This window comes from Homo sapiens, chromosome 8 (assembly GCF_000001405.40).
Source record: "Homo sapiens chromosome 8, GRCh38.p14 Primary Assembly".
NCBI classification, from domain to species: Eukaryota; Metazoa; Chordata; class Mammalia; order Primates; family Hominidae; genus Homo; species Homo sapiens.
In genome coordinates, this window is record NC_000008.11 from 109,677,624 (window position 1) to 109,691,939 (window position 14,316).

Genomic DNA, 14,316 nt, shown 5'->3' on the forward strand with positions numbered 1-14,316 from the left:
TTAAATACCCACTGTATGTGAGGCACTGTGCTAGACTTTTATCATGCATTATATCTTCAATTCTTTCAGCAACCCTATAAATGCAGTATTCTAGTCACTTTTTCTACCTGAGCAAACTGGCTGGAGTGAGTGTTTTCCAAACTTCAGACTAAGATGGGTCTCAGACACAGAAATGTGATAAACATTGCTGAATAACTCAAACACAACTTTATTACATTTAGATATGGAAAAGTAAGTCCGGGAGCTCACACCTGTAATCCCAGCACTTTGGCAGGGCGAGGTGGGTGGATCACCTGAGGTCAGGAATTCGAGACCAGCCTTACCAACATGGAAAAACCCCATCTCTACTAAAAAGACAAAATTAGCCAGGTGTGGTGGTGCATGCCTGTAATCCCAGCTATTTGGGAGGCTGAGGCAGGAGAATCACTTGAACCCGGGAGGTGGGGGTCGCGGTGAGCTGAGATCGCGCCATTGCACTCCAGCCTGGGCAAGAAGAGCGAAACTCCACCTCAAAAAAAAAAAAAAAAAAAAAAAAAGGAAAAGGAAAAGTAACATTTAAAGTAAAAAGAGTAAAAGTAAACTTTAAAAGTCACACTCTTTTAAAGTTTACTTTTCCAGAGTTGACCTCAAGTATATTAGCATTTAGATGAAGCATCACATTTGCACCCCTATGAATTTTATGTCATGTCCCATAACTTAAGATTGTTAGGTTAAGCTTGAGACTCCAGTTCTCACTTTGTCTTATAAGTAGATAATGTACTACTTGATATTGCTGTCTGGGGGTGGGGTGGAAGAGCAGTTTCAAATAACCTTTTTTTTTTTTTTTTTTTTTTTTGAGACAGAGTCTTGCTCTGTAGCCCAAGCTGGAATGCAGTGGCGTGATCTCTGCTCACTGCAACCTTCACCTCCAGAGTTCAAGCATTTCTCCTGACTCAGCCTCTGGAGTAGCTGGGACTACAGGTGTGCGCCACCATGCCCAGCTAATTTTTGTATTTTTAGTAGAGACAGGGTTTCACCATGTTGGCCAGGATGGTCTCGATCTCCTGACATCGTGATCCACCCGCCTCGGCCTCCCAAAGTGCTGGGATTATAGGAGTGAGCTAGCATGCCCAGCTTCAAATAACTTTTAAAATCATGCAGGAAGACAATTCTTACTAAGGCAGAGGTTCTCAACCTTGATAAATCTTAGAATTACAAGAAGACCTTTAAAAAATACTGATGCATGGAGCCCACCATGTGATTCTGTCAGAGGCGTTTGAACTAGAGCAACTCCATTTTGAACAGGGGCTGCGTAAAATAAGGCTGAGACCTATTGGGCTGTATTCCCAGGAGGTTAGACATTCTAAGTGACAGGATGGAGGTTGGCACAAGGTACAGGTCAAAAAGACCTTGCTGATAAAACAGGATGCGGTAAAGAAGCTGGCCTAAACCCACCAAAACCAAGATGGCCATGAAAGTGACTTCTGGTCATCCTTACTGCTCATTATATGCTAATTATAATTCATTAGCATGTTAAAAGACACTCCTACCAGCGCCATGACAGTTTATAAATGCCATGGCAATATAAGGAAATCAACCTACATGGTCTAAAAAGAGGGAGGAACCCTAAATTCCGGGAATTGCCCATCCCTTTCCCAGAAAACTCATGAATAATCTACCCCTTGTTTAGCATGTAATCAAGAAATAGCCATAAAAATAGCCAACGAGTAGCTCATGCTGCTGCTCTGCCTATGGAGTAGCCATTCCTTTGTTTCTTTACTTGTCTAATAAACTTGCTTTCATGTTACTCTATGAATTTGCCTTGAATTCTTTCTTGTGCAAGATCCAAGAACTCTCCCTTGGGGTCTGGATCGGGACCCCTTTCTGGTAACATCTTCCAATGTGCAGTTAAGGTTGGAAAACATTGCTCTTAGTTTGTCCGCACAATAATGGCACTATTCTTATGTAATTGCTTTGCTATTACACCTAAGTGACCTCAAACAAGGTGAGGTTTGGGACATCAGGTAGGTGTGAGGAATTAAGGACAGCACAAGTAAGACAGCTCTCTATGTTATTAGGAACGAGATGACTCTGACAGTAACAATAATTACCTCTATTTCAGGATAGATTTCTGAATGCCTGCAAAAATATTATAAGTCTTGCTAGAGATAAAACTGCCTTTAGAGCACTGGCCAACAACCTTTCCCCTCTTGCTGAGGTGGGAGTTTAACTGGTACCCACTTAATGCCAAATGGTATTGGAGCCAATAAGAAAAATAGCTGTATTTAAATCCAGTTTCACCTGCAAGAGTCTCCAAGTTTTAAACTAAACCATTACCTTCATGGTAGCTGTTTTTGAAAATGTATATACTTGATAGTTTAGCAATAAATAATACAACACATTTACTTAAGAGCAGATATGGCACTTCAACCCTAACCTGTGAAAGCTCCCAACCAGGAGAACACGTATACACTCTCATATACTACAGACGTATTCAATTTGTACAACTACAAAACAACTAGCATATCACATTCAAATTAATTCAATTTAAAATGTTTCTAGATCAAGAGCATTAATTTTCACTTACATTCTAGAGCAAAGCCTGCAGTACAAAATTATTATATAATCTGGGATAAACTCTAAATAGAAACTAATTTAAACTCCTTCGCTCAACTACTGTCAACCTGCCAAGTGCAGGAATGGCAGCATGCTACTATAGTTAGCAGCTCTCTCCTGGTCAATCGGATCAGAGAGACTCAGAGTGAAGAACCGAAAGAAATTAGTTTTGTACAGTTTGATAAAAGGAAAACAGCTTTAAATGACAAATTAGGAACAATTTTATAATACATGATTTACAATTTCTTTGCAGGAAATTGTACAGTCAGACTGTACAAATTCTTTGCTATTTAAATGCTCCCTTGAAAACTTAAATTTTCTCCCGATCATTTCTAACTCCAAAACTAGGCTTATTTGGAATATCAGCAACATTTTATGAAATGTGATTTAGTTAACCACATCTTCCTTAATATTTTTACGACAAATCTTTGACAAGAATATAACCCCTTAGCAAAACAAATATACCTCCCTTACCACAGCAAGCAAACTTACCTCTTGGGAAGAAGAAGCAATCAAAAATTACTGGCTCAGCCAAATAGAAAGAACATATAAAGCTTCAGTTCTGGAGTCAAGGACTGGTGACTTGTTTAAATAAGCTCAAGAGTCAAATGGCTGTGCCTTCTCTTTAAAGGGAAACCAGAAAACTCTGCACTAATGTGTACTGCTTCCGGGCACCTCCCTTTGTTCTAAGTAGAATGCTAATGCTAAAATTGCAGTTTGCATTCCTGCTTACTCAGGGAACACTGACGCAGCCTGACAAAGCTTCCAGCTTAAATATCCTGATGGGAAGAAAAGTCCCAGAAGATGGTATTTCCCTTGTGCACTAGTAAAACGAGCAACACGATGAATGTGTAAATTTGAACAGCTGGAAGTTTGTGGTCACATTAATGTTAACCTGATCTCATTTGTAACATATATTAGAGACACTGAGAAAAGAAATGTTTCACTTCTTATGAATGTCCATTAAGGAAGTCAAGAGTGTGTGTCTGAATGTTTTCACCTCTTCTCCTTGGCGTGCAAAATTTTCATTAATGTACATAAAAGCAGTTAGTATAAAAGGAGAAAGAAATACCTTAGGGGAGTGAAATATAGATTAAGCTTAGTATAATGGGATGAAAAATAATGTGAAAAAGTTAAGGCTATAAAGAGTAAAAGAAAACCTAGCAGTGCAACTTATTCATGTGTTAACATGATATATTTTAAAGTATAGGAAAAATTTAATTTCAAATTATGTTTAATATTGTTTTTCATTGTACAGAGGGAATGTAAAGCAGGGATTGCTATGTAATGTCAAATTTTTAAGAAGAAATTTAAGATGTGTTATGTGCTATCTCATCCCTTCTCCTAGGGTCTTTAAAAATGATGAAGTTTCTTTTCTTCTTTTTATATACAATAATTGGATAACAGCATACGTAATTCAATAACTGGGAAAAAATATTCTGGAGCAAACGATCACACATTTAATTTACAAGCCTCTAGATATTTACTGATATATACAGGACTGGAAAGCATATCAATAATATGTCAGTCACTTCATGATATGGTTTGGGTGTGTCCCTACCCAAATCTCATCTTGAATTGTAGTTCCCATAAACTGCACGTGTCATGGGAGGGGCCTGGTGGGAGGTAATTGAATCATGGTGTCTGTTACCTCCATGCTGTTCTTGTGATAGTGAGTGAGTTCTCATGAGATCTGATGTTTTATAAGGGGTTTCTCCCCTTTTTGCTTGGCACTTCTTACTGCTGCTACGTGAAGAAGGACATGTTTACTTCCCCTTCCATAATGATTGTAAGTTTCCTGAGGTTTCCCAAGCCATCCAAAACTGTGAGTCAATTAAACCTCTTTCCTTTATAAATTACCTAGTGTCAGATATGTCTTTATTAGCAGCACGAGAATAGACTAATACAGTAAATTGGTACCTGGAGTGGGGTGCTGCTATGAGGATACCTGAAAATGTGAAAGCAACTTTGGAAATTGGTAGCAGGCAGAGGTTAAAACAGTTTGGAGGGCTCAGAAGAAGACAGGAAAATGTGGAAAAGTTTGGAACTTTCTAGAGACTTGGAGGGCTCAGAAGACAGGAAGATGTGGGAAAGTTTGCAACTTCCTAGAGACTTGTTGAATGGCTTTGGCCAAAATGCTGATAGTGATATAGACAATTAAGTGCAGGCTGAGGTGGTTTCAGATGGAGATGAGGAACTTGTTGGGGCCTAGAGTAAAGGTCACTCTTGCTATGTTTTAGCAAAGAGACTGGTGGGATTTTCTCCCTGCCCTAGAGATCTGTGAAACTTTGAACTTGAGAGTGATGATTTAGGGTATCTGGTGGAAGAAATTTCTAAGTGGCAAAGCATTCAAGGGGAAGCAGAGCATAAAAGTTTTGAACATTTGCAGTCTAATGATGCAATAGAAAAGAAAAACCCATTTTCTGGGGAGATATTCAAGCCAGCTGCAGAAATTTGCACAAGTAACAAGGAGCCCAGTGTTAATCACCAAGACAATGGGGAAAATGTCTCCAGGGCATATCAAAGATCTTTGCAGCAGTCCCTCCCATCACAGACCCAGAGGCCTAGTAGGAAAAAAAGGTTTCATGGGCCAGGCCCAGGGCTCCCCTGCTGTGTTCAGCCTCAGGACATGGTGCTCTGCATCCCAGCTGTTCTAAGCCATGGCTAAAAGGGGCTAAGGTACAGCTCTGGACATGACTTCAGAAGGTGCAAGCCCCAAGCCTTGGCACTTTCCATGTGGTGTTGAGCCTGTGGGTGCATAGAAGTCAAGAACTGAGGTTTGGGAATCTCCACATAGATTTCAGAGGATGTATGGAATCACCTGGATGTCCAGGGAGAAGTTTGCTGCTAGGGCAGAACATTCATGGAAAACCTCTGTTAGGGCAGTGTTGAAGAGAAATGTGGGGTTGGGGGCACTGCCTAGTAGAGCTGTGAGAAGAGGGCCACTGTCCTCAGATCACAGAATGGTAGATCCACTGACAGCTTGTACTGTGTGCCTGGAAAAGCCACAGACAACACCAGCCTGTGAAAGCAGCCAGGAGTTGGGCTGTCTCATGCAAAGCCACAGGGGCAGAGCTGCCCAAGGTCATGGGAGCCCACCTCTTGCATCAACATCACCTGGATGTGAGACATGAAGTCAAAAGAGAGCATTTTGGAACTTTAAGGTTTAATGACTGCCATATTGGATTTTGAACTTGGATGGGACTTGTAACCCCTTTGTTTTGGCCAATTTCTCCCATTTGTAATGGGTCTATTTGTCCAATGCCTGTACCCCCATTGTATCTGGGAAGTAACTTACTTGCTTTTAATTTTGCAGGCTCATAGGCAGAAGGGACTTGCTTTGTTTCAGATGAGACTTTGGACTTGGACTTTTGGGTTAATGCTGGAATGAGTTAAGACTTTGGGGGACTGTTGGAAAGGCATGATTGTGTTTTGAAATATGAGGACATGAGATTTGGGAGGGGCCAGGGGCAGAATGATAGGGTTTGGTTCTGTGTCCGTCGCTCAAATCCTAACTTAAATTGTAGTTCCCATAATCTCAACGTGTCATGGGAGTTACCTGGTGGGAGGTAATTGAATCATGGGAGCAGTTACCTCCATACTGTTCTCATGATAGTGAGTGTGTTCTCACAAGATCTGATGGTTTTATAAGGAGCTTCCCCCCTTTTTCTTTGCACTTCTCCTTACTGCCACCATGTGAAGAAGGATGTGTTTGCCTTCTCTTCCACTATGATTATAAGTTTCCTGATGCCTCCCCAGCCATGTGTAACTGTGAGTCAATTAAACCTCTTTCCTTTATAAATTACCCAGTCTCAGATATGTCTTTATTACTAGTGTGAGAACAAACTAATACACTTCACCTAATGCATAACTTTATTATTATTTCAGCAAGGAAAATCAGATTGTCTTTGGTGTTTTCCAATAAGGAAAATAAGTGTTTAGGTATTGTCAGTATGTGGAATGTTTTCAGAACTATTGGGCTTAGTTAACTTTCATTTTTAAGTTTCTAGCTGGATGTCCAGATGCAAATTTAAGAATGATAAGAATTTTATGTGATTAACACAGCTAAGCTACTAAATCTGTTCTTTTTGTACTTCTTTATGAAAAGTGATCATAAGTGAGTTAAGTTCAGGATGATTGATAAGTTTTCTGGACAAACTTCATTAGTGGTAAGAGCTGAATAATAGATGCTGGATTTAAAAGTTTTGGTTTAAAAATGTGGCATAAACATAAGAAATATCAGACTGGGAAATACTGTAAGGAAATTATATAATGGGCTTATTAAACATCTGTATGTAAGTTTAATATAATTGTATAAACATTATCAATCTAGCTCAGGGTGTTTGATATTGGTCTTGTTGGAAACTGAAAAATAAGCCTCTGTCTGGAACATTGTTTCAAAAGTCTTTGGCTGAACTTCATGCCACAGCTACTTCACTTCAAAAAGAAGTAGGAGAGAACATTCTAGTTGTTAGAGAATAATCACTGGAGTCCCCACAAAACCTTTCCAACTTAGGGTAGAGGGTAGAGAGGACTATCTATTCTTTTCCCACTCTGTCATTTTTCTTCCTCTTCTTTCTACATAAACCCAAAGGATGGCTCTGGCTCTTGGATTTTATGCTTTTCCCCATGAATAAATTTTCCTTTTGCCTGCTATGAAGAGGGAGGAAAATGACTTCTCTACTGTTAATTAGAAAAGCAAGGTTGCCTAGGTAACAGATCTTCCATAAACAGATCAAGAGAAAGATTTCTAAAGAGCTAGAATTCACATGATGTCATGAAAATTACAAAAGCTCTTTAATGCTGAAGGATAGTTTGGGGGTTTGGCATAGTAATAGTTAAAAACTCAGCATTAGACAGGCTGAGTTTCATTCTGAATTTCTAATTACCGACTGGGTTACTTAAGACAGTCTCTTAACTTTCGTCATTTGTAAAGAGGAAATTGTAATAATTGTAGTGAGCAATAAGTGAAGTGGCATGTGTAAAACACTTAAAAAATACCTAACATTTAATATACACGAAAACATGTTAGACTTATTTTTGCTTTTCATAATTTAATGCATGGAGGAAAACAGATAAATGTATATCAATTTCTGTAACATAATAATTAGACAATGCATACCTCTTCTTAAGTGGGTAGCTGTAAATCAACATCATCTGATTTGTGCCACCAATTCTAGCTCTTTTTGCACTTATTCATTCACTAACGTTCTATGGCATTTAACAAATACTTTTTGTGCACTCACTATGAGTTAGGAACTGTGTTACATACTTGAGATAAAGCTATAAAAAATCAAACAGGTCCGGTCCCTCAATGACCTTAAATTCTAGTAATATACACTGCTTTGTGTTGTTGTTATTTTATTTTTTATGCAAATGCAGTAATTATTATATTTAAGGTTTCTCAGGGGCAAGGGCCATATATAAAAATTCTTCATAATTCTCACAATTATATGCATTAAGTATTTCTTGACAATTTGTTATGGATAATAAGTATTCTACAAACATATAAATAGTAATGGAAATAATGGCTCATTATTTGAGGAGGCATAATTTTTATTTAAAATTATATGAAAAATGTCCAAAGTATCTATTGTAATAAAAGTCAGAGACAAAGCAATACTATGGGACTAAAAAATTACGAAATGAAGAGTTTTTAGAAAAGAAATAGAAATTGACAACCTTTAAATATTATTAACTTAATGAATCAAGAAATTGTAGGAGTAAAGTGATAAAAATTTCCAAGCTGTACTTCAGATAGGTTAAAAACAAATATTTGTCAATTCGTCCTACAAGCACATCACTCAAATATACAAGCTAGTAATGTCTGCAAATTCTATTTCCATGCTGGTTATAAAACTGAAGAATACATAATTTTTAAAGTCAATATTTGTATTCTTGTAAGTCATTAACTGGAAGAAATGCCTTTTTTTTTTTTCTTTCTGTACCTAATTCTGTAGTGAGGTCACTGAGGAAGAGCCCGTTTCAGCACCATGGACAAAGCACCCCCCGACAGCCTTACTCTTGGGAGCGACAGGAAATGTTCCCCTTTGATTAAAATTTAAAAACAACTTTATTATAGCCACCTTCCATTTTAATATGTTTTAAGAACCAAATGGATACTAAAGAATGTTCATATAGATAATATAAAGTTTACGCTTTCAAACCCCTTCTCTCTTGTGGAAAAACATAATGGCCCTTTAAAAGACACGCATCAATGTGATGAATACATTTAAGTGTCATTAGGTTTAATGGCTCCTACTCACTTAGACTATCATTCCATACCATTTAAAGTTAATTTGGTGTGTATTAATGGTGCAAAATTGATGAAATTATGAACTGAGTTTCCCCAGGCACAGGTTAAATCAAGAAAGAAGGAAGAGAACAGGTTAATATTACCTTCCACCCATTCTTCATTTATACTACCAAAGACATCAGTTCTGCCCTTGGGAAGAACATTCTCACAGTTAATAAGTTGAACCTAAATTGATTTTTAAGGTTTTTAAGTCAGAAAACTGTCTTTAGTTGGGTCACCAAAGGTTCACAGTTTTCTTTAGGGAATAAGAAAATATGTACTCTTCTGAGATTAAATTCATATTTCATTCCTTATTTTCAGAGAAATAGATAATTTCTTACTTCTTTCTCTTTCTGTATTCAACTTGCACATCTTTACTTAGAAGGTCATTTGGAATATTCTTATTTTGTAATCTCTCTCACATCCCACCATTTTCAGATAAAATAATGATGTTTGGTTAATTTAAAAGCTGAATTAAATATTATGATAATAAATACCACTACTATTAATGCAAAAAACGGAAAAATCTAAGGTTCTGGTCCCAAGAACATTTGATATGGTAAAACTTCAGTTCACAGTTTCAAGAAGACTGGACTCTAATTTTGAACTATGGCTTACCATAAGAAATAGAAAAATATTCACTTTATATTTTAAGTAAGAAGCAAAAGAAAAGTATAAACTCACTACTTGTTACAGTTCATTTAATACTGATGAAAAACTAAGAGAACACATAACTTTCTAGTGACTCGTTTGCTTCTCTGTCAAGTAAAAATTATTTCCAAACTAAAAAGGAAAAAATAAAACTTGGCAAAAGAGAATAAAGCTCAGGTCAAGTCATGTCACTAGCTTCTCTTAAGACATTTAACAAGTTATGAACTGGGCTTTACAATCTCATCTCATACAAATAGAATTATGGCACCACTGTTAATGTCTATGAAGCACCCTGAGCATGGGATTCCAAGATATTAGAAATATAGAAGCCAAGCATATAGTTCTGATTTTCAAAAGCCAGAGAGAAGGGAAAGCCTGTAAAACACTGATTGATGAGGCTGAAATGAAATATTGGGCAATATTTTGGCACAAGTTAATAAAATGTTGGTTTCTGGGTGCTTAGAAAAGAAAAAAGTGACAGAGATCATCCTGGGCTTCTAAGAATTACTTGGACCAAGTCTAGATTTTTTTTCTCTTATTACAGATAGTGTTAGAACTGGCAAAGCATATGGACTTTGATGAGGCATCTGGCAAAATGTCACATGGTATTATTATAGAGAATTTTTGGTTGGGTGACAGTAGAGATACAGTAGAGGTAATTAGGTGAGTTCACATCTACTCTCAATATAAGGATAAATGGATCTTCCCAATAATTAAATGGACTGCTCTAACAATAGAAGTACTCATTCTAACCACATTTTGACAATTCACAAGACCATATAGGAAAAATAATCTAGAGGTACATTTTTAATTTAATATTTTCTCTACTTACTCTGTATAGCTAGGCTTCTCCTCATCATCAGGTCCTGGAGCACCTCCCAAGGTTGTGTCATTGTACAGTGTTTCCTGATACATTAGGTGGTACACAGATAATTTTAGGTGGTTCATGGATGTCTTTTATAAAGCTATAATATATATTTATTTGTACATATTAGGAGAAATGTAACTAACAGATGAAACATTATTTCATAGGTGGGCATTATTCCTTTGATAAATCTGAGTAAAAAAACAATGTGTTAATTTAAGTAAGAATAAGTAAATAGTATGATTCATATTCAGAGATGATAAAAATTGTGAAGTATACTAGAAAAACTGAAGTTCTGGAAAGTTCTGAAGTACTGGAAATACAAAACATTTCTTTTGTCAGAAGTGTGTACACAGGAACCTTTCTTTCCTTTGCCAGTACCTGCTGTCGGTCTACAAGACCACAGAAGCTTTAGTCTCTGTTTTCTTTGGGGATATATTTAGGTATTCTGGGACTTCTGCCATTGGTGGCCAACCCCAAAGAAAAAACACCCTGATGTTGGTGAGGGTGGCTCTGAACATCCATAAAAGACTTTTCAGATATTTCAAATAACTTAATTTACTTTCCTAATTTCTTTCAGTGAGGTATCTTTATGAACATCAGTTTTGTTCTTTTTTTTTCTATCCTATCCCGTCTATCATGTCTGCTTGGTGATATCTCTGGGTTCTGTCACCTGAACCACAGAAAACATCCTGCTAAGAAGAAGGATGCAGACTCAAAACCTCAGTATTTTTACACAGATAAAAAAAAAAAGAGAGAGAAGAAAATAAAAACACCAGCTGTTATTTTCACACAAGTACTATTTAAATAAAACACTTTCTCTTTGTTTTCCAAAATTTTAAATAAACAGAAATTGACTAAAATGAAATTAATACCTATTGCTAAGATGCTATTTGATACTCCAGCATGATTAGTTACATCTTAACGGTGTGTATGGTCTTTTAAATATCAATAAAGTTATATGCAGGTGTTAGTTTGTACCATAACTATTTTAAGTATGTATTACATACTTAGAATATATAGTAAAATGAAATATTTTGTATACATTCAGATTTAGAAAAATGGCCAATGTTGGAATTTGATGTACTTACAAAATGACTGTAAAAACAGTTTCTTTATTTTGAAATTATTATAGACTCACAGGAAGTTGTAAAGATAGTACAGAGAGATCCCATGTACCCTTCACCGGGTCTTCCCCAACGGTTATATCATATAACTACAGTATCATATCAAAGCCAGAAAACTGACATTGGTGCAATGCCTGTTTACAGCTCTATGATTTTTTAAAATTTTCTTTAATTAATTTATTAATTTATTTTTGAGACAAGGTTTTGATCTGTCACCCAGGCTGGAGTGCAGTGGTGCTATCACAGCTCCCTGCACCCTGGGCTCAAGCAATCCTCCTGCTTCAGCCTCCTCAGTAGCTGGAACTACAGGCACCTACTGCCATGTCCACCTATTTTTTTTATATTTGGTATTTTTAGTGGAGATGGGGTCCCACCATGTTGTCCAGGCTGGTCTCAAACTACTGGACTCAAGCAACCCATCCTTCTCAGGCTCCCAAAGTTCTGGGATTACAGGCGCAAGCCACCATGCCAGGCCTGTCATTTTATCTTATATGTAGATTCGTGTAACCACAATAATCAAGATACACATCTATGCCATCCTCACAAAGATCTCCTTCATGCTACACTTTTAGTGTCACATTCTTCTCACCCTCATCCCATCTCCAAACCTTGTCAACTACTAGTTTGTAGTATTACTCTTTTGTGCTTATCTTTTACCTACTGTTACTACAATATGAAAAAAAAAAAAAAAAAAAAAAACCATGACTATTAGAGACAGCTGGTTCTAAGTGTGCCACTGGCTAAATTACTCACTTACTCTCTGCAAGCCTCAGTAGATCATCTGTAAAAATAAAGTTTTGGACCCATTTTTTGTTTTTTTGTTCAGTGCATCAGCATTTATGAATGCATACAATTACTTAGTTTCAATTATGATATCACCTTAAAGACTATTAAATACAAATAAAGTGAATAAAATATTATTTAAATATGTACAGATCATTATGAATTGAAGAGCGTATTTTAAATATATTCTGCATTAAAATAGTACTATTGTAAAATAAATTAAGCAATCAAAATCTGCACTATGATAATGTATTGCTGCTTTAAAATCTGAAGCATATAAAAAAAAATGATTTCACCTGGGCTCATCTCTCAGCGACAGGTGCTACTGCTCTCCAAATGTACAAGTGGAGAAAACTTGGCATAGAGAATACCTGACTCCTTTTGCCCCAAGGGCGCCCTATGGGGAGGAAAAGGCAAACATTCCTAACATGTGCCTACTGAAGAATCTGATCTGGCAGAAACTTTAAGTTGAAGATTCTGATCTGTAGGGTTCAAATGTGGCCCTTTTCTGAGAAGAGATATCCAGATGTTATAGCTGCCCTTTGCTTCTGCTGCACAGGCTCTGGGGTCAGGGCCAGAGGACGCAAGAGGAACCTAGCAGTGGAGTCTCCTGTTTTCCTTGATAGCACTACCTGCTGGACACTGGGGAAGATAAAAGCAACGATTTTCCGATTTTCCCCAGTAGCTTCTTTCATTTAAAAAGCTTTCAGAATCTCTTTCCACATACTAAATTAAGCTCACAGATATCTTTTACTGTACAATTTACCTCTATTTTAAATCCAAACCTGTTGATACCACCCACCATGAGGAGGTTTTGAGCTCATCAACGTAGCCCTTCAACAGCACATTAATGGAAAATGGCTCATCCTTTCTCACCTGGAATAGTCTTTAAGAAAGTTTCTCCAGGAAGCAGAAACTTGAAAAGTGTCCTCTGGGGACTTGGGACTGTCTCCCTCTTTGGAGAGCTCAATGGAGGCTTCCTGGAGAACACCTATTCTTAATGAACCTTCCTTATCAAAAGCCACCATTTCCAAACCCACTCCTGAGAACAACCAGTAAAGGGAGATTCAAAACCGACGGCCTATACATTAGCCTGGCTAATCTTGCTCGTTGCAACAAGGAGTCCAGCCCGACCGTCTCAACAACCAATCAAACCAATCAAACAGGAGGGCCTTTCCCTTGGCCTCCATGTGCTGAGAGTGCCCTTGATTCCCCATTTTCCACGACCTTCTTCTGTGCATCGCCGAGCACCCTGGATACCTCCCGCATTGGAAAGGGTGGTCCTGGGGTCCGGAGCGCCCCATCACTGCCCTCATTGTACCGAAGACCATCAGTTGCCCTCCCGTGTCCGCGGGCACTGACAGCAGAGACCGCATAGGCGCCCCGGTCTTACCCTTTCTCGCCCAGAAGGGCCCCATCGCGCTGTCCAGGAGGAGGCACCTACGTGCGCCCGGGAGACCGGGCCCCGGCTGGGCCGGGTGCCGGTGCGGACGGGACCCCGCGTCGCTGCTGGTTTGCGCTCAGGCCCGGGGAGCCGGGCCCGGCCCGCTCCGCCCGCCTTAGCCCGGCTTGGACACGTGGTGCCGCGGAATCCCTTGCGCTCCGGTGCCCTCGGCCCCTCGGCCTCTGCAGCCAGCCGGGCGGCTGCTGGGGCTGAGGACAAAATGGAGAGAAGGGCGGGGGACCAAAGGGCAGGCACCGCTGGGTGGGGCGCAGCGGCGTGAGCACGCTGAGGGCCGCGCGCCGGGGGCGCCAGGATTCTGCTCCCTGGGCTCGCTGCCTGAAGGACCGGTTCCTGTTGCCAGGGCCCTGGCAGATTATGCTGCAGGATCTGTTTCTTGAAGAAGCCGCTCTCAGCGTGGGTGGCGCGCTGCAGAGACTCTGGGCTCCTGCCAGATGAGGGAGCCCCGGCGGAGGCCAGGAGGGCTTGCGTTGCACAATCTGGAGCGGATCCCCGGGGGCGGCTGAGGGCCTGGGACCCCAGTCTCCCTCGAGGTCTT

At 39.1% G+C, this 14,316-nt stretch overlaps 1 protein-coding gene across 4 annotated transcripts in view; it reads right to left on the bottom strand.

The window, feature by feature from the left end:
- Positions 1–13,977, bottom strand: part of SYBU (syntabulin) — a 117,623-nt gene extending 103,646 nt beyond the window's left edge. For 2 of the 4 annotated variants that reach the window (NM_001099743.2, NM_001099744.2), the window contains exon 1: positions 13,710–13,977. The gene's annotated coding sequence lies outside the window, so the exon portion shown is untranslated. Of the gene's footprint in view, positions 1–3,087; positions 3,344–13,709 lie in introns of those variants that run through there. The other 2 variants (NM_001099746.2, NM_001099745.2) reach the window with 1 other exon arrangement.
- Positions 13,978–14,316: the final 339 nt, after the last annotated feature.